The sequence below is a fragment of the Homo sapiens genome, chromosome 1 (assembly GCF_000001405.40).
Source record: "Homo sapiens chromosome 1, GRCh38.p14 Primary Assembly".
NCBI classification, from domain to species: Eukaryota; Metazoa; Chordata; class Mammalia; order Primates; family Hominidae; genus Homo; species Homo sapiens.
The window spans coordinates 227429579-227450555 of NC_000001.11; the positions used below are offsets into that span (position 1 = coordinate 227429579).

General features: G+C 45.8%; 2 pseudogenes; both read left to right on the plus strand.

Annotated features, from left to right (window-relative positions):
* Window positions 904-1442, plus strand: RPS18P3 (ribosomal protein S18 pseudogene 3; annotated as a pseudogene).
* Window positions 4335-5028, plus strand: BTF3P9 (basic transcription factor 3 pseudogene 9; annotated as a pseudogene).

A 20977-nucleotide genomic window follows, 5' to 3' on the forward strand; every position in this document is an offset into this window, starting at 1 on the left:
TTTCATCAGTCCATCTATGCTGGTGTCCAGCCATTCCAGCCCACCATGGCATTTAAAAATCTTTCCAGCTCTCTGTGGAAGATCTGAGACTTGAGAAAGAGACTGTTGCTCAGGGCTGGACAGGAAGGAAGTATGCATTCCTGGCTCCCAGAACAGAACAGCAATGTGGGTGACCCTTCGTCCCCTCCCCAAGGCGTCCCCTTGGGCCGACACAAAAATAGATTCTATCCTCCTTGGTTCGTCTCCACCTCCCTCGGGAAAGAAGACACAGGCTTCGAGTGAGTCAACAGTATTATCGGGGCTTGACTGTCTTTCAGGAATGACCAGATGTTGGGAAGAGGATAATGTGCCATTTCCTTTAACAAATAGTCCGGGCATCTGTGCATTTCCTTTTGAGCCAGCTCTTCAGGAGACTGTGCTGCTGTGACAGGGAAGGACGAATCACCCTGGTTTCTACTCTCACGGATACTAGGGGGCTCCTTGAACCCTTTGGATTCCAGCCCTCCATTAAGAAAATATTTCTGTCCTTTGTATGCATGAGTGACACCACGAGAAGACAGCATAGGGAGTGGTTACAAGCAAAGAATTTAGAGACAAAATAAATGCTCTAAGGGAAAAAGACAAGTAGCCAAGGAACGCTGGGAGAGGGCTTGGAGGAAGCAAATTGTTCATCCATTCCCCCAAATCAGTGGTTCTCAGTAGAAAACCAACATGAGTAACATTTGCCTGGGAACTTGTCTACCACCCCAGCCCTACTGAAACTCCAGGGGTGAAGCCCAGCAATCTCCTTTGACAAGCCTTCCAGGAGATTCTGATGTGAGCTCAAGATTGAGAACTACTGATCCAGATAGATCTTAGCTGGTCCTAGGGCTTCCCAGAAAGCATTTTTAAAAAAGCAGAGATTCTCCTCCACAGGAGGCCTACATGCTGCCACCTCTGTGGCCACCATGTCTCTAGTGATCCCTGAAGAGTTCCAGCATATTCTGCGAGTACTCAACACCAGCATCGGTGGGCGGTGGAAAAAAAGCCTTTGCCATCACTGCCATTTAGGCTGTGGGTCGAAGATATGCTCATGCGGTGTTGAGGAAAGCAGACTTTGACCACACCAAGAGGGCAGGAGAACTCACTGAGGATGAGGTGGAACGTGTGATCACCATTATACAGGATCCATGCCAGTACAAGATCCCGGACTGGTTCTTGAACAGACAGAAGGATGTAAAGTCTGGAAAATACAGCCAGATCCCAGCCAATGGACAACAAGTTCTGTGACCACCTGGAGTGATTGAAGAAGTTTCAGGCCCATAGAGGGCTGCGCCACCTCTGGGGCCTTCGTGTCTTGAGGCCAGCACAGCAAGACCACTGGCTGCCATGGCTGTACTACGGGTGTGTCCAAGAAGGAATAAGTCTGTAGGCCTTGTCTGTTAATAAATAGTTTATATACCAAAAAAAAAAAAAAATGCAGAGATAGTGTGGGATGATTACCTGAGAAAATGCTTTAGCTCCCTTGCAGGGGTGGAAGGAAGGGACAGGACTTGTAAATGAGGCTATTCTGGCAAGAGAAAGATCCTACAAATAGAAATGAACTGACAGCAAATAAAACAATCCAAGATGCATCTTATCTCTCTGCTCATACTGCATTAATTTGCAGCACTTCTAGAATATGGCTCAATGACGTAAGAGTATATTCACAGCATATTTTTCAGTTTAAATAAAATGCTCAATGTGGGCCCAATTATGTAAAACGTACGTGCATATCAATCCATATTTAGAAAAAATATTAGAAGATTATATATCAAAATGTGATCATCTCTGGGTGGTGGAATACGAATAACCTTTACTTCATCCTTTATGATGTTTTGTTTTTTCCCCAATGTTTCCATAATAAATAGGTATTTTTTAATAACAAAACAACTGTAATAAAGTGACAAGCTCGTTGGGTCAAAATAGTCATTTAAAAAAATCTGTATAGCCCTCTCCAGAGGCTACCTCTCCAAGAATTTATGTCACACTGATAATTAGCACCACCTGTTACACTTGTGCTAAAATGGGCACGAAGAACGTTGGATTCAGAACTTATAAAGAGATTGTTAAACTCATCAGCTCTAGTTGAAACCAGCACAGCAGGGAGAGCTGCAGAAAAATGTCAGTCAGAGCCCACCCTGGGGCTCCGGGGCCTCGCTGGGGCTGGCCCAGGGCCCTCGTGTGCTTCCAGCACGTGAATCTGGGTTGCTGGGTGTCCTCAGCAGCCTGCAGGGATCCACTGTCCTTCTGCACAGCTTTGTTCGGGAGCCCCAGCACCCTCTCAGTTTTTACACCCTGATTTCCTACCAGGGAGAGGCCCTGGGCAAAAACAAAACAAAATGAAAACACTGAAAGGGCTCTCAAAGCCTAGAAAGGAAGAAAGGACAATGGAACGTGATGTAAGGGTCGCTAAACAGCCAGTGACTCAGCGCTTCTGCACCATCAACACCAGCTGCAGCCTGCAGCGGTGGCCGTGGCAGCTCACAGAACACACACACACACACACACACACACACACACACACACACACACAGTACAAACATTACACTGCCTGGAGAATGGCAAAAATTCTGACTCTTAGACTGTGCTACAGCCAAGAAGACACAGAATCAAAGACTTATGGAGCTTCAGGGAGCCTGGAAGAATATATAAGTATGTTAGATCTTAATCCAGTTTTCCATTAATATCTTTTATCAAGATCCCTAAGGAGGGCTGGGCATGGTGGCTCATGCCTGTAATCCCAGCACTTTGGGAGCCCAAGGTGGGAGGATCATTTGATGCCAGGAGTTTGAGATCAGCCTGGACAACATAGTGAGACCCCATCTCTACAAAAAACTAAAAATTAAAAATTAAAAAAAAAATCCCCGAGGAGCTGGACTTGTCACTGGGGTCAGATTCTCCAAACTGGACCCACTCTCTGCCTGCAAGCATGGATATAACTCATTCTAATTTCTTGTGAAACATCACATGATGAAATTTGGTTAGTGTGGTAGATTCTAGTGTGGGCTTCTGGAGGAGACTTTAGGGGAAAATTCTCACCCTTCATGAGTCATGTGAGGGGCTGGCAGAAATTCTGCACAAATCACAAATGGGAGTGGGGGTCGGGCATGGTGGCTCACACCTATAATCCCAGCACTTTGGGAGGCTGAGATGAGCAGATCACTTGAGTCCAGGAGTTCAAGACCAGCCTGGACAACATGGCAAAACCCTGTCTGTACAAAAAATACAAAAACTAGCTGAGTGTGGTGGTGCAGGCCTATAGTTCCAGCTACTCAAGAGGCTGAGGCAGGAGGATCACCTAAACCTGGGGTGGTCAAGGCTGCAGTGAGCAGTAACTGTACCACTGCATTCCAGCCTGGGCAACAGAGTGAGACCCTGTCTCAAAACGAAACCAAACAACAACAATGACAACAAAAACCAAGTAGGAGGAGGAATCTGTCCCACAAAGTTTCGACATGGGCAATAACTCTGTCTGCAAATGTATCACCTTATTAAAAGATATATTTTTAAATTCAGCCTTTACCTCAATCCAAGTCTGTTGAAGCAACTCCTCCCACAGAATGAGCTGGGCTCACCCACTCTTCCCAGATTGCTCTGCTCCCACTGGGCCCACAGCAAGGAACCCTGCAGATTAGGTTGGTCTTAGGAGGCCTGACGCTCACCATTAACCACCAAATCCATTTGTTGGACCAGCACTGCTCATGGGATGTGATCAAAAAGCAACTTTATTTTTGTTACCCACTGCTCCTTCAAAATTTATTCCATGAGGAAAGCTCTTTCCTGCCATTAGATAAAAATTATGAGGACTCCAGAATTTTTCTGCTCACTCTAAGGTATAAGATCATTCTATGGGCATTTTAAATCACAAAATACAGTCTCATTCGAGCAATTGTCTGAGTCTGGCATGGTGGAGCACACCTATGATCTCAGCGATTTGGGAGGCTGAGGAGAGAGGATCACTAGAGACCAGGAGTTCAAGACTAGCCTGGGTAACAAAGTGAGACCCCTTTTCTAAAAAAAAAGTTTAAAAACAGCAGGGCATGGTGGTGCATGCCTGTAGTCCCAGCTGAGGTGGGAGGATTGCTTGAGCCCAGGAGTTCAAGGTTGCAGTGAGCTATGATCATGCCAGTGCACTCCAGCCTGGGTAACAGAGCGAGAAAAAGGAAAGGGAAGTGAAGGGGAGGGGAGAGGATGGGAGGGGAGTGGGGAAAGAGAGAGAGGAGAGAGGGAGAAAGAGAGAGAGGAGAGAGAGAGAGAGAGACAGAGAGAGAGAGAGAGAGAGAGAGAGACAGAGAGAGAGAGAAAAAGAAAGGCTTTAGCTGCCATCTTGCATCACCACGTGTGTGCGCCTAGTCTCAGCTGGTCCACCCAAGAGCCCCTGAGCACCAAGCCTAGTCCCCCGCGTGGCCCCTTATCCACTCTGAGAAGATGAAAGAAACAATCATGAACCAGGAAAAACTCCAAAGAACAATGATCCACTTTAACAACCCTGAAGTTCAGGCATTTCTGGCAGTGAACACTTTCACCATTACAGGCCATGGTGAGACAAAGCAGCTGACAGAAATGCTACGCAGCGTCTTAAACCAGCTTGCTGCAGTCAGTCTGACTAGTTTAAGGAGACTGGCTGAAGCTCTGCCCAAACAATCTGTGGATGGAAAAGCACCACTTGCTACTGGAGAGGATGATGACGATGATGAAGTTCCAGGTATCATGGAGAATTTTGATGAGGCTTCCAAGAATGAGGCAAACTGAATTGAGTCAACTTCTGAAGATAAAACTTGAAGAAGTTACTGGGAGCTGCCATTTTATATTATGACTGCTTTTCAAGAATTTTTTGTTTATGAATCTGATAAAATCTAGATCTCTAATATTTTTAAGCCCAAGCCCCTTGGACACTGCAGCTCTTTTCAGTTTGTGCTTACACACAGTTCATTCTTTACAGTTAATTAGGCCGAAGAAGCCTGGGAATAAAGTTTGAAACAAAGGTTAATAAAGTTCTTTGCCTAGAGGAAAAAAAAAAGAAAGGAAGGAAGGCTAGATTAGGGGCTAGGTGTGGTAGCTTATGCCTGCAATCTCAGCACTTTGGGAGGCTGAGGTGGGAGGATCACTTGAGCCCAGGAGCTTGAGACCAGCCTGGGCAACATGGCAAAACCCCATCTCTACTAAAAATACAAAATATTAACTGGGCATGGTGGTGAGCACCTGTAGTCCCAGCTACTTGGGAGGCTGAGGTGGGAGAATCACTTAAGCCCAGGAGGTCGAGGCTGCAAATGACCCATGATTGCACCACTGCATGCCAATGGAGGTGACAGAGCAAGAACCTGTCAAAAAAAAAAAAAAAGGAAAAGAAAAGAAATTCAATGTCTGGGCCAAGAATCCAGAATATTAACACTTTAATATTCATTTAAAGAAGAGGCTTTCCAGCACTTCACATGCCCATCCTGTAGGAAAGAGCAGAGCTCAGGAGACACAGTTCTTACCAGGCTCTCCCTGTTACAATTGTCCCGTCCATCTCAGCTCCCCAGGCTTGGATTGAATTTAGAATGTCTCCCAGCCTGCTCTCTCTGCCATGAGGCTTCCATCTGTTGGTCCCAGCTCTCTGTGGAAGTGTAATTCTTTCCTAAATGCAGCTCTGTTTTCTCCATCACCTACCTCCTCTGCCAAGGCTGCTTTCACAGGAGTTCCCCAAATACAGATCCCAGAGTATTTACACATCGAAATAAGCAAATGCTACAAGTTAGAGTTTTCTCCTCTCCCTTCCCCAGCCAACTCTGGTTACTAACATTTACCAGCATAGCACTGCATGCAGTTATAAATGTAGTAAATCATACTGCTATATATTTCTATATCCAGATCCTTCATATGGCATGGCTGGAAGATAAGGTTCCCAGTCAGAGCCACGATAGAAAGAGGGTGGATGGGTGGAGGCTTCGTTTCACCTAGGAATTTCCCCACGGGTAGTCAGCAAAAGTATGCTGAAGGAAAAGACAACAGACTTCCTAGGGCCTGGAGGAAGCACCTGTTTTCTAGGAAAAGTAATTTTCTTTTTTAAAATATATTTTTAGTAGAGATGGGGTTTCACCATTTTGGCCAGGCTGGTCTCAAACTTCTGACCTCAGGTGATCCGCCTGCTTCAGCCTCCTGAACTGCTGGGATTATAGGTATGAGCCACTGCACCTGGCCTCAGGAAAAGTAATTTTCTTTCTTTATTTTTTTTTTGAGACGGAGTTTGCTCTTGTTGCCCAGGCTGGAGTGCAGTGGCACAGTCTTGGCTCACTGCAACCTCTGCATCCCAGGTTCAAACAATTCTCCTGCCTCAGCCTCCCAAGTAGCTGGGATTACAGGTGCCCGCCACCACGCCCAGCTAATTTTTCTATTTTTAGTAGAGACGGGGTTTCACTATATTGGCCAGGCTGGTCGCGAACTCCTGACCTCAGGAGATCCACCCACCTTGGCCTCCCAAAGTGCTGGGATTATAGGCGTGAGCCACCGTGACCGGCCAGTAAAAGTAATTTTCTAACAGGTGAAGGAGATGAGTGGGTCTGTGTTCCTCAGAATGGGGACACTGGCTGGGTGGCTAGAGAGTGGCCCACTGAGGCAGGGCTGCCCCCAATAGGCAGTCTAGGTCCTTGCTCATCTGGCTGGCAACTCTCCCTGCAGTAGTGGGGATGTACCCAGACTAGGAGGATTGGTGAGAGCCCCAGACTCGGGATGTGGAGGGCTGGTTTCTGACTGTGACAGTTATGATGGTCCCCGGAGAGGGTAGGGGAAGAGGGAGAAGGCTGTGAGTTAACAGTGAAACACCCTGTAGCAATGGCCCAATGAATGAGGGATTGGCAGTGCCAAGTTCCTAAAGGAGCATTAACTGTGCTGGGGGCACGGATGCAGGCTCCCACAGAGGTGGAATGAACTGCCCTGGCAAGTCTAGGACCCGTGGAGCCCCACTGAGACTCCATCACCTTAACTCCAAAAACAGGAAAATGTTTGTAAATCAAATCCGCTCTGTTTTCTTTATTTCTCCAGATTTGTTTTCTTCTTGGACTCATTATCTTTATGGAAACTAGGTCGAATTGGATTCTTTTCTATTTCTATCAGCCATGTATAGCCCCATTAGCTTTCTAATACTGTTAGAGAGTCTTTCAATTATGTTAAAAATGGAGCCAAATTTGCCATTCTTAAAAACGTTTAAGCTTCCATGCAAGTTCCCTTGACCTGGTTTTCTTTTGTCCCCTTGGGACACGGAATTCCTGTTAATGATACCTTATGACACTGCAGAAGACAGGAAGACATTGATGTCAAAGGGCAGCTGACCCTTGAAACCAACAGACTGGAGAAGAGCCATTTTTCCCTTTCCCAGGTCACAAATGATGTGGGAGAGAAGTTGCCAAACACTGCCCTTGTGTGTTTTTTAAACATCAATTTAGGAAAGTATAGACACAAGGAAGAGAAAATTCAATACTAATTCAAAGAAATGTATTTAATTTGAATGTTGGATAAACAATAGCTCTGTCATGAGGTAATAATAAATTATATATTTCGACATCCAAATTTCGAAAACTTAGCCAGGTGTGAGGATGTGTGCCCATTGTCCCAGCTACTCCAAGGCTGAGGTGGGAGGATCGCTTGAGCCCAGGAGTTTGAGGCTGCAGTAAGCTGTGATCACACCACTGCACTCCAGCCTGAGTGACAGAGCAAGACTCTGTTGAAAGAAGGAAACAGAGAGCGAGAGAAGGAGGAGAAAGAAAAGAAAGAAAAGAAAGGAAGAAAGAAAGAGAAGAAAGAAAAGAAAGAAAAGAAAGAAAAGAAAGGAAGAAAGAAAGAGAAGAAAGAAAAGAAAGAAAAGAAAGGAAAGAAAGAAAGAAAGAGAGAGAGAAAGAAAGAAAGAAAGAAAGAAAGAAAGAAAGAAAGAAAAAGAGAAAGAAAGAAAGAGAAAGAGGAGGGGAGGGGAGGGGGGAGGGGAGAAAAAGAGAGGCCAAAAGCTGTGCTAAGGAGTCTCAGAACAACACCCCCAACCCATCCAAGCATTCTTAGGCTTAAATGATAATTATCCCAGATCTGGAGGTAACAGGGCAACCTGAAACCAATGCTCCTGTTTATAACATTCACCCCCAATCTGACTTGCCACAGTCTTAGGACTAAGGTCCTAGACCCAAATCTACGGTGTTGGGGTTGACGAAGACCATCTGATGGTTCTATTAAACCAACTTAGACCTTTCTGATCTTATTTAAAATGGGGGACGAGACCGTGCCTCTACCCCTAAATCGTTATGTCTATTACTGTGCTACCATCTAATGGCGAAGTGTATTAAAACACAAATGAAACCTACTCCAAGGAACACTGACTACCGTTAAATTTTTTTTCCTATGGCCAATAGTTATATCTCTCTATCTCTCCAGATAAGGCACCAAATTTTCTCCATCATTCATAAAAAATGCCCCCAGATTAAGATTTCTGGCAGGGAAAAAGTAATAAAGTCTAATTTACGCAGAAAAAAATTATGTAACATTAGGGAGGACAGAGGGATTTTTCTAAAACACTCTCAAAGTGTACAACATAAGACAAAACATTATTTTAAGATAGATATTGTTTAACTTTCTCATATATGAGAAGTTACTAATGGCAGAAATATTAACGCAGTATAGTTTGTGCAGAATGCATTACCGTCTTACAGAGAGGATAAAAATGAAGCCATCACCCTCTACAGAGACTATTCACCACCCTAAAAATAAAGTCTCATAGCAAAAATAAAGTTTGACTGTTACGTGATAAAAAAGATAGCGGATTACCAACATTTTTCCCTCTGCTCCTGCTGGCTAAGATTTCAGATTCCTATTACAACTTATTTGGGAATTTTCCTCCCAGGGCTAAATGTTAGAAGTGGGGATCATTTAGGGAAATGTAGTAGGCAATGAAAACAAAGAATTCTCCTCCCCACCCCTAAGCTCTTCCTTTTCTCTAAAAGGGCACAGGACATATATATTGGGGATTTTCTACTTCCTGAGCAGTTGCATTAATGTCACCAATAACTCAAACTTTAAATCACATCAGGAGACAGCCAGGTCCCCAAGAACTCCTGGGACACAGCCAGCTGGTCCACAGTGCATCGAGGCTTGCTGCAGAGCCCCCACAGAGTGGTCCCGTATGGGCTGGGAGGGTGACATGGACAGGTGACAACCAGACACTCAATCAGTTGGTAGGGCACAGCTGCCATGGGAACAGAGAGTGAGATGGGTAGGCAGAATTAGGACACCCCAAAACATGGCTTCGAACACCAGTTGTGCTGTGAAATTTTGAGACACGTATTAGTACACTTAAAAAAAATCTAGAGATGCAAATTTCAAGTTGATTTCCAACCAGGGCGTGGACAGGGTCACTATAAGAGCAGAGAATATAGCTTCTGGGTTGGGATACACACTGATGTGCCCCTTCCCAAACAGTGCCTCTCTTTCCCACAACTACTGGAGCACGGAGTAATGGAAATCGTGTACTGCTAAGTTATAAGCATATGTAAAAACACAAAACTGGGCCAGGCACAGTGGCTGGTGCCTGTACTTTCAGCACTTTGGGAGGCTGAGGTGGGAGGATTGCTTGAGCCCAAGGGTTTGAGACCAGTCGCTACTGAGGCAGCTGAGGCAGGAGGATCCCTTGAGCCCAGGAATTCTAGGCTGCAGTGAGTTATGATCAAGCCACTGCACTCCAGCCTGGGTGACAGACAGCAAACTTCTCTTCGAAAAACAAACTAACAAAAAAAAAAACAACTCACAGAACTGTACAAAACACCACATCTGTTCCCCTCTTGACCTTTATTTTCACCCCAGCCCACAGGTAAGATACAACCACCAGTCCTGTCTCCTAAATCAGTGGTTCTTAAACTGTTGTTCCCAATCAGCAGCATCAGCGTCCCCTGGGAGCTTGTTAGACATGCAAAGCCTGAGCCAGGTGCGGTGGCTCACACCTGTAATCCCAGCACTTTGGGAGGCCAAGGTGCATGCATCACCTAAGGTCAGGAGTTCGAGACCAGCCTGACCAACATGGTGAAACCCTGTCTCTACTAAAAATACAAAAATTAGCTGGGCGTGCTGGCACAGCTTGTAATCCCAGCTACTTGGGAGCTGAGGGAGGAGAATTGCTTGAACCTGGAAGGCAGGGGTTGCAGTGAGCCGAAATCGTGCCACTACACTCCAGCCTGGGCAACAAGAGTGAAACTCCATCTCAAAAAAAAAAAAAAAAGAAAAGAAAAAAGAAATGCAAAGCCTCAGGCCTCATCCCATTATTACTGAATCAGAAACTCTGGGGGTGGGTTCCACAAATTTGCATTTTAACAAGTTCTCTGGGTGATTCTGATACACACACGAGCTTGACAACTGTTCCAAATGCAGATGCTGAAAGCGCATACAAGGATGCAGTTTGTTGGCTAAAAGATGTCAAACAAGGGTGTAACCAAGTCTAGCTAAAACGTGAAGCTCTGGAATCAACACCTTCCTCCTGTAACTTCAACTCCCTCAAATGTCATATGATGTGGCGTTTTGGTCCAGACCACCCCAGCAGCTTTAGTGGGGTCAGCCCACCTCAAGAGCCTGGTTATTTTCTCCGGGAACTGAAGCAAAGTTGTTGGAACAAAGCTAGTAATCCGAGGTAGAGTTAAATAGAGAAGTCCTTGGGGACCCTATATCTCCCTATTTTGTTTTCTAATCTTTAGGATCAGTAGTTCATTTCCTAATCCAGCAAGAATGGTTGGCAAGTCTGGGCTGTTAGGTGGGAGAAACACCGCCCTGGAACACTGAGATCTCGTTGTACACAAAGGAAACAGCGTGGTCCTGCTAACAGCTTGGGAACTGAGATAGCAACAGAACCACCAACAGAACCCCGTGAAAAGAGGACAAAAAGCCATTTATCGTATGGTTGTTCTTTTCTGATAAATATGAAAGTTACAGAAAAGTCTAAATAATACTGTAACTGAAACCTATATTCCCACCACCTTGATTAATAACTGTTAACACTGTGTCAAATTAAACAGCAGTTTTGCAAAGCTGTGAAAAACTGCATCTGGCAGTGAGCTGGGAAACAAAGAGGAAAACAGCTAGAATAGGGAGAAATGAGCTAAGTATTTCTGAAATAATTTTTTAACAAAGAATGTCCCCATTCTTTTATCAGAAAACATTTCAAATATGAAGTTTCCACAGAGCCACTAATAATAGTTTGTAAATTTGCGTAGCTGGAGGCTGGAGAGTTGAAATTTACAAGTAATGAAGAGCAGAAAAATAGCTGTAGAGGAAGCCAGCTCGTTTCCTTGGGGAAAACAGAATATGCTTTAGGACAACCCCCTACCCTCTGAAGAGAGCAGGAAAGAAATCAGGCTGGTTCAACAGAAATCCGGCTGCAGATCAAGAAAGTGTGAGGCTTTCCCATCGCTGTTTATGGAGTTGAGGCCAAACGCTGGAAGACCCACAAGAAAGAACTGTTACCCAGGGCATTCCCTCGCTGGCTGACCTTGGACTATCTGCTTGGTGTTACCCATCAAAGCAGAGGGGCAGTAAGAACATGCACTGAAGTAAGAATCATGAGCTATTAGTGCTTCTACCCAGGGTGGGGAAAACATGGAAGTGTGGAGGCTGGAGGGCTGCTTTCCAGAGGACAAGGTCACAGGGAGCTGAGCTGGCCAAGGAGCAGGCAGGAAGGGCTGTCATCTTTGCTCTGATTCAACCAGTTTTACAGTCACCATGGCAGCCCCTGTGGCAACATCCAGAACTTCTGAAATGATAACTCCTGCAGCTCTGAGGGTGTGTCTTCTGTTCTTTGACAAGTGCATTCCATTGCTGAAGGGGAACAAAATTTAAAATATTTATCCTGGCTGGGCGCGGTGGCTCACGCCTGTAATCCCAGCACTTTGGGAGGCCGAGGCAGGCGGATCACGAGGTCAGGAGATCGAGACCATCCTGGCTAACACAGTGAAACCCCATCTCTACTAAAAATACAAAAAATTAGCCGGGCGTGGTGGTGGGCGCCTGTTGTCCCAGCTACTCGGGAGGCTGAGGCAGGAGAATGGCGTGAACCCGGGAGGCGGAGCTTGCAGTGAGCCAAGATTGTGCCACTGCACTCCGGCCTGGGCAAAAGAGCGAGACTCCGCCTCAAAAAAGAAAAGGAAAAAAAAAATATATAGATATATATATATTTATCCTTCCCTCTTAACCCTGCTGGAAAACCTCTTCCTTGCTTAGACAAACCCATTTCCCCTGCAGGCAGGACAAACATGGAAAGGGACAGAGAAGTTTTTTTTGTTTGCTGTTTTTTGCTGTATAAGAGGGCTAGAGGAGGGGAAGTCTAGACTAGACATCCCCTGGGTATCTCTTGTTTGTGTACATATTGGTAAATTTAATATATTCATTGGAGAATTTAATAAAGTGAAGCATAGAGTTCAGCTGGGCAGCCTCAGCTAAACTTCCCACATTCCCACACTCCAGGTGCAAAGCTGTGTTGTCTATCAACCAGCACCTGCCCTTTCAAAGAAATGTTATGTGTCATCACAGTCACAGGCTTTATGAGGACCAAGGGCACCAAGCCCCCAACTGATGTGCTTCCTCCCAGATCCTTTGGAACCCAATTGATGCAATGAGAGTCTGTTTGCCATAGCCAGAGGAAACTGTGGAGGATGGCTGCAGAAACATTCAGGCCCATTAAAAACCAATAACAAGAAATGGATTTTTCACCTGGTTTCCTATGTAAAAAAAAAAACAAAAAAAAATTGCAGGAAAAAGAGAATGTAAAATACTTGTATGTGTGGCTGTGTATGCATTGCTCTTACCTCTATTAGAAATTCATTCTTTCAGCATAAACATTTTTGACACTTACTATGTACAAAACTCTGTGCTAGATTCTGTTAACAAACATGAGTAAGGTGTAGTTCCTGGCTTCCAAGAGCTCATGATGTGGAGGAGAAAATCACACATAAAAACTAAAAAATCGTATTATAAGTTCTATAATTAAGGCTCATTCATCTGGTCAACAAAGATTTATTGTACACAATGTGCCAGCCTCAAGTATGAACAAATAATTTTGAGAGCACAGAGGCCAAATATAACTACCATTCTCCTTTCAACCATGAAAGGTGTGATAAAAGAACTCCCATGAAAATGCTCTTTAAGGAGGGGGTCCCTATCTTTTTGTACACCGGTCGTACCTGGTGTGTGCCTGGCAAACGTTCAATAAATACTGCTCGTTAAATAATGGATTTTTTGTCCTGTTATTCATTAAGCATTTTCAACCCCATCTTTCTTTGCCATCTACTCCCTAATTTCATAAGCACTTACGGAACATCTACACATATGCTGGGAGCAAGGGCTATAGAAACAAGAAGCTGTTCAGTGAGGGAAACAGGAGCGAAACTAAACTGAGCCTCAAAGAATGTGTAAGAATAAAACAAATTATGGCCAGGTGCAGTGGCTCATGCCTGTAATCTCAGTACTCTGGGAGGCCAAGGCGGGAGGATTGCTTAAGCCCAAGAGTTCAAGGCCAGCCCGGACAACATAGGAAGACCCCGTCTCTACAAAAAAATTTTAAAAATAAAATAAAACAAGTTGTGTGTTTCTGAGGGATGACATTTCATGGAGGGAGGACGGTTTAAGAAAGACATAGAAGAGAGGTGCAGTGTGGGCATGTGGGGATCTCCAAACAGTTCAATGTCTTGAGCTTTGCATTTTCAAAAACTTGATCTTGTCAGATCTAACCTTGAGCTAACCAAACTTTTGAGGGAAAGTGTATCAACTAGAATGCCAATTCCTCAAGTCATTACTCTGTCAGTGGGCTAGGTGTTCATATGGGCATTGGAATCTGTGTATGTCCAAAAGGATGCTTGAGTGAGCATGACCTTGGGGCAAGTTGCAAAGCTAGTGATCTTGTCATCAACGTAGGATAGCCGGCTGCATCTGTCTTTATCACCATCTTCCCTCTCCCTCTCCCTCAGTCATAAACAAGCTTCCAGGATGCTGCACTCTTTTCCTACTTCCTCAGCTCACACACTCCTCACCCCATTGCAATCTGGATTCTACCCCACCTCTCCCCTGAAGCTGCCCCCACCTAGGTCATAAACGCTCTCTCTGTCGCTAAATACAGGATTCCCCTTAGTCCTTCTTTCTTGATGTGTCTGTAGCTTCTGACCCTAAGATGAGCTCTCTTTCATCCATTTTGACGCTACCACTCCTTCCTGTTTTCCCTCTGATGTCACAGGCCCTCTTGCATCTTCCTTTTACTCTGCCAACCCTACAACTAGTAGTTTCCTCCACTGTTCTCTCTCTCGGTGAGATCATGACTTTAGTTGTCACCTATATAGTCTAAAGATTCCCAAATTACGACCGGTGGCTCTAATGGCTTTTTCAAGAAATTGAGGTAAAATACACACATTATGAAGTTTACCACCTGCTCTGGTTTGAATATTTGTCCCCTCCAAAATTCATGTCAGAATTTATTCCCCAGTATGGCAGTATTGAGAAGCGGGGCCTTTAAGAGGTGATTAGTCTCAGTTATCACTCCAGCTAGGTGGCAATGCCTTGTGATGCCAGGGCAAGGCTATTCAGGAGGCTATACGTGCTCTGAATCAGCATCCAATATATGGTGCTGTTTCTCCGAGGGCCAAAATTCAAGGGTCCAGGAATCAAGGGGTGGAAATAGAAATAGCACCACTTGCCATTACCCCTAGTGACCCACTAGCAAAATTTTTGTTTCCTGTTCCTGCAATTTTATGCTCTGCTGGCCTAGAGGTCTTAGTTCTGGAGGGAGGAATGCTTCCATTAAGAAACACAACAATGATTCAATTGAACTGGAAGCTAAGACTACCACCCAGCCTCTTTGGGCTCTTTATGCCTCTGAGTCAATAGGCCAAGAAGGGAGTTACTGTGTTGGTTGGGGTGACTGATCCAGACTTCCAAAGGGGAAATTGGACCTCCACTCCACAATGGAGGTAAGGAAGAGTATGTCTGGAATATAGGAGGCCTCTTAGGGCATCTCTTAGTATTACCACACCCTGTGATTAAGGTCAACGGAAAACTACAACAGTGCAATCCAGGCAGGACTATGAATGACCCAGATCCTTCAGGTATGAAGTTTTGTGTCACTCCACCAGGTAACAAACCTCGACCAGCTGAAGTGCTTGCTGAAGGCAAATGGAATACAGAATGGGTAGTAGAAGAAGGTAGTGATCAATACCAGCTGTGACCACATGACCAGTTATGGAAATGAGGACTGTAACTGACATGAGTATATCCTCCTCATTTTGTTATATGTTTGTGTATATGTACACATGTTTTAAGCAAATATCTTTGTTTTCTTTCTTCTCTTACTCCCTTATTATGTAACATAAGATGTATTCACTTTATATCGGTATTTAAGTTAATTTTACGTCATAGTGTTTACCTGGAGAACAGTAAACATCACTCAAGAGCTTCATCTCCTCTTCTGGGGAAGGCATTAGTATGAGATAAATATGTCATGTTAGAATTAGGATCTTGTTATTGTTTTTATTTGGGGATTAAGTATGGTTTAAGGAGATGCAATGCATATGGGTGCCACATTGACGAGGAGTGAATTTGTGATGGTAGTTTTATGTGTCAATTAGATGTGCAGATAGGTGATAAAACATTATTTCTGGATGTGTCTGCGAGGGTGTTTCTGGAAGAGATTAGCTCATCAGTAGACTGAGTAAAGAAGGTCTGCGCTCATCCATGTAGGTGGGCATCATCCCTTGAGGTCCTAAATAGAACAGAAGGGTGGAAGGAGGGCAAATTTGCTCTCTCTATTTGAGCTGTGACATCCATATTCTCCTACCCTCGGACATTGGCACTCCTGGTTTTCAGGCCTTTGGACTCAGATTGAACTACACCACCAGTTTCCTGGTTCTCCAGCTTGCAAACAGCAGACTGTGAGACTGATTAGCCTCCTCACATGAGGCAATTTCTATAATTACAAAAAAATATAGGGCTGGGCACAGTGGCTCACACCTGTAATACTGCATTTTGGGAGGCCAAGGTAGGTGGACTGCATGACCCCAGGAGTTCAAGACCAACCTGGACAACATGATGAAACTCCAACTCCACCAAAAAAAAAAAAAAAAAAAAAAGTAGCTGGGCATGGTGGCACATGCCTGTAGTCCCAGCTACTCAGGAGGCTTAGGTTGGGGGATTGCTTGAGCCCAAGAGGTGGAGGTTGCAGTGAGTCGAGATCACACCACTGCACCACTGCACTTCAGCCTGGGTGACAGAGCAAGACCTTGTCTCAATAAATACACACACACGCACACACACAGACTATAAGTTCTGCTTCTTTGGGGAATCCTGACTAATACAACAGGTGAAGAAATACCTCAGGCAATAGAGGCAACAAGCAAAGATGCAGGTGTGTGATACAGAATGATGCATCAGAGAACTGCAGGTTATGCAAGGTGGCTGGAGCACTTGAACTACAAGGCAAGGAGTGGTCAAGGACAAGGCCAGGTAATGTCTGCCAATAGACTCAGAGGATGGACACTATCAGGCAGTCCTGACCAGGAGACCAAAGTATGGATCTATTACACAAGACCAGATAGAGGTGACACATGGAAACCAGGAATCAAAATTAAGGAGGAAATGACTGATAACAGGTAAACGTATTATCCTTCCAGAGTATGTGCGATGGAATGTTTGTTGAAAACATGTTTGTTGAAAAAAAAATTAATCAAATATGTAATATACACTAAAATATGAGCATAAACCTAGATTAATACAGCTATGAAATTAAATTATGGCACTTCAGGTATGAGTCAGGTTGAGGGAGATATACGTGTCGTCAGTGTACTGAAGTTCCTGAAACTGGGAACCACTAGTTCTTCCTACTCTTTAATGAGCAAGAGGCCAGAAAGTAGAAGGAGTAGAAGCAGGAGGGGTGAGGAAGAAAAGAGATTGGGCAATTTACAAACGAAAGAAGATTAATGGACTCACAGTTCCACATGGCTGGGGAGGCCTCACAATCATGAGGGAAGGTGAAAGGCAGGTCTCACATGGTGGCAGACAAGAGAAGAGAGCTTCTGTAGGGAAACTTCCCTTTATAAAACCATCAGATCTCGTGAGACTTATTCACTATGACGAGAATAGCACCGGAAAGATCCACCACCATGATTCACTTATCTTCCACTGGGTCTCTCCCACAACACGTGGGAATTATGGGAGCTACAATTCAAGATGAGATTTGGGTGGGGACACAGCCAAACCATATCACCAACATTAGGTGAGATGACTCTGGATTCTGATTTCCGCTCCTCATGGCAATGTGTCCCCTTACGCGCCCTTCAGCTTTCTGTGTTCCTCACTCGGTCCTTGTTCTCTATTCTTTCATCTGCCCCCAGCCTTCTGTTTGCTCTTTCCTCACTCAGAGAGCTGTATTTCCTTGGTAAATTCCAGTCTTTTTTTTTTTTTTTTTTAGACGGAGTCTCACTTAAGCCCAGGCTGGAGTGCAGTGGTGCGATCTCGGCTCACTGCAACCCGTGACTCCCGGGTTTAAGCTATTCTCTTGCCCCAGCCTCCCGAGTAGCTGGGATTACAGGCGCCCGGCTAATTTTTGTATTTTTAATAAAAAGGAGGTTTCACCATGTTGCCAGGCTGGTCTCAAACTCCTGACCTCAAGTGATCTGCCCACCTCGGCCTCCCAAAGTGTTAGGATTACAGGCGTGAGCCACAGCGCCCAGCCGGTAAATCCCAGTCCTTTACCTACATCCTCCAGAGGTATTTTGAGCCTGTTGCCCCTGGCCTTTCAGAACCGGTCTCCCCCTCCCGGGCCATGCCCGTCTCTTTCTCATATTCTAACCCAGCTTTCCCACGTCTAAACCTATTTTTTGATTACTGGTGAGGCATTCTCTGGGCTCCCCGCAACCTCCCCGGGACTTGACTGGGAAGGGCTCCCTTAGGCTCTCTGTCTCTTTGGTGCCTGGGCTGCAGCCACAGAGCAGGGAGAAAGGCCCCGGTGGCCCTGTCGGCTCCGCGCGGCGCCCTGCGAAAGGCCGGCCATGCGACACGGAAGCTCCTGCAGAACTGTCGCCGTCGAAAAGAAAGAGGCCCTCGCCGCAAAATGACTCAGTCAGTTCAGGCCTCGGCCCCAAGAGAAGTTCCCTGGTCATGTCACACCCTCCACTGAAGCAGTTCCAAAAGGCTGGGGAAAGAGCTGTTTTCTGGGAATTTGGAATGTGGGAAAAATTTCCCCAGGGAGTCAAAGTCGCCCGCGGCAGGAAGCGGGGTTCCGGCCACTGGACGGCTGGTTTTCCTGCTCTGCCACCTCCCGGGGGATGTGAGACCTGCAGGCCTTCTCCCGGGTGGAGGAGAGCAGCTGTTCATGCACCGAGGATGGATTCATTTACTGTGCACCTAGAACAGAGAGGACTAGACAACGTCCCCGACCATAATGAGGCTACACTCGGGACGGGAGGTGTCTGTAACGGGTCGTTGTTGTAAATGCGAAAGAGAGAAGTGTGCAAGTCAGAATCCCGGGAATCCTCGGCCTCCAATCCATTATCAAGTCCTCTCAATTCCAAATCCAGCACGTCCCTTAGATCCATCCACTTCCCTTTCTCCAGGTCCAAACCACTCCTCTGTCTCCTCTCTGAATGCTTTCTCCTCCCTCAATCCATTCTCCACTTAGCAGCCTGCTTAAATCCATTTAGCTTAAATCCCCACCACAGTCCCAGCCCCGCCAGGTCCAGCAGGTCCTTCATCCAGAGCCCTTCTCCCCGACCCTCTCTCACATCAGCACCCAGGTCTTTCCGTACTCCAAACACCACAAGCTCTTCTCGCCTTCGGGACTTTGCTTCTTCACAGCTCCTTCTACCAAGCATACTCTTCCTTATCTCCCCCCTATTCATTTCATTCTATTGACCCTTGGATAGCGGCTCAGCATCAGTTCTTCAGGGAAAGCTTCCCTGACCTGCAGGTAACAGATCCTCCAGTCATCTATTCTAAAACTTCTCATGCTCTTCCCTCATAGCAAACATCACAGTTTAATTACATCTGTGTGCATTAGTTTAATTAATGTCTCCTTCCCCCGAAGCTGTAGATGCAATATCACTAGTACCTAGCATGGTACCTGACATATGGTAGATGCTGAAGAAGTATTTGTGGAATAAATTTGAAAGGACCTGTGGACTTCTTACAAGCAAGAGGAGAACAATCTGGTTTGCTGAGTGGGTGTAGAAGTAAAGTTTCCACCACAGAAGTAGAACAGGACCAGGATTTCCCAGCCACTTTTATGGGATGCTTTAACCACAGTGGCATCTCCTCTTGAGCCTTCCTGGACTGTATCACTAGAAGTCCAACATCTGTTCCATCCTTGGACCCTGGGGGCAAGGGGCTATCACTGCTAGAGGGAGGGGAAGCTAATGGCCCAGTGAGCTGAATGAAGCAGAGAATGGGGAAAGATAGTGGAGGGAGATCATTCAAATCAGAAGGCCATTGGATTGATGACCTCTGAAATCTTGACGCCCCCAGGTACTTTCTCCAGGTTCCTGAGCGGATGATGCTGTCTGTACAATGGGGAAGATCAGACACCTACTTGAGTGTCATACCCTGAGACTCAGCCTGGTTGGATTCGTTCATTCAGTAACCTTTACATTAAAGTTCCTGACCTCTAAGAGGTTATACATGCTCTTGACCCCCAGAGGGCACCCTGGAGACTCTTCTAGCAGCCTGTTGAGCACCATTACTGGTCAGCTTCCAGGGTCAGTGGAACTTGATGTAAAAGCAGCTGGGGTTGTTACCGGTGTTGGGTATCCGAGTTACTGGCGACAAATTCATACAGGTCTGCAGCAACTTCAATTCTTGCCTCCTCAGAAGAAAGAATTTGACTGACGGGCAGAAGGCAGAAGGAGAGACTGAGGCAAGTTTTAGAGCAGGAGTGAAAGTTTATTAAAAAGCTCTAGAGCAAAGGCCAGGAGCAGTGGCTCACGCCTGTAATCCCAGCACTTTGGGAGGCCAAGGTGGGTAGATCGCCTGAGGTCAGGGGTTCGAGACCAGCCTGGCCAACATGGTGAAACCCTGTCTCTACTAAAAATACAAAAATTAGCTGGGCATGGTTGTGGGTGCCTGTAATTCCAGCTACTCAGGAGGCTGAAGCAGGAGAATCGCTTGAACCCGGGAGGCAGAGGTTGCAGTGAGCTGAGATCGTGCCACTGCACTCCAGCCTGGGTGACAGAGGGAGACTCTGGCTCAAAAAAAAAAAAGCTCTAAAGCAGAAACAAAAAGAAGGAAAGTACACTTGGAAGAGGGCCAAGTGGGCAATCTGAAAGACAAGTGTGTGGTTTGACCTTTTGACTTGGGGTTTTATACATTCGCATGCTTCTGGCGTCTTGTGTCCCTTCTCCACTGATTCCTCCCTTGGGGTGGGCTGTCCACAGGCACAGTGGCCTGCTAGCACTTGGGAGGGGAGCATGTACAGTGTGTTTACTGGAGTTGTCTGCATGCTCACTTGAAGCATTCTTCCCTTACCAGTGGAATGTCTCTAGGAGAACATATACCAGTTAAACTCTGCCATTTTGCCTCAGTTCACATGCATGAGCCCACTCGTACAACTCCCGAGATCTTATCGGGAAGCTGCTGATTACCAGCTTCAGGCGTTTCTACATATTGGGAAACTGCCTTTCTCTGGAACCAGCTGCAACCAGTTATTATTTTAGCGAGACAGTGTGACAACTGCCTGATCATCATCTGATGGTCACCTGATATTCCTGGTGGGGTCGATGGGGGAGCTCTCATCTGCCGGGCTCATGCCTGACTAGCTACCTACTGTAACGGGGTCAAAGCCATATGATTATGGAGCAGGCCAGGCAGGATATGTGGGAGAGCTTTCCTGTGTGGTCTCTGCAGCGGTGAGGTGAGCTGATGGAACGTACAGCAACATAGGTACTTGTAGTGGCTATTTTTTTAATTGCTCAGCCTCCATTTCCCTTTT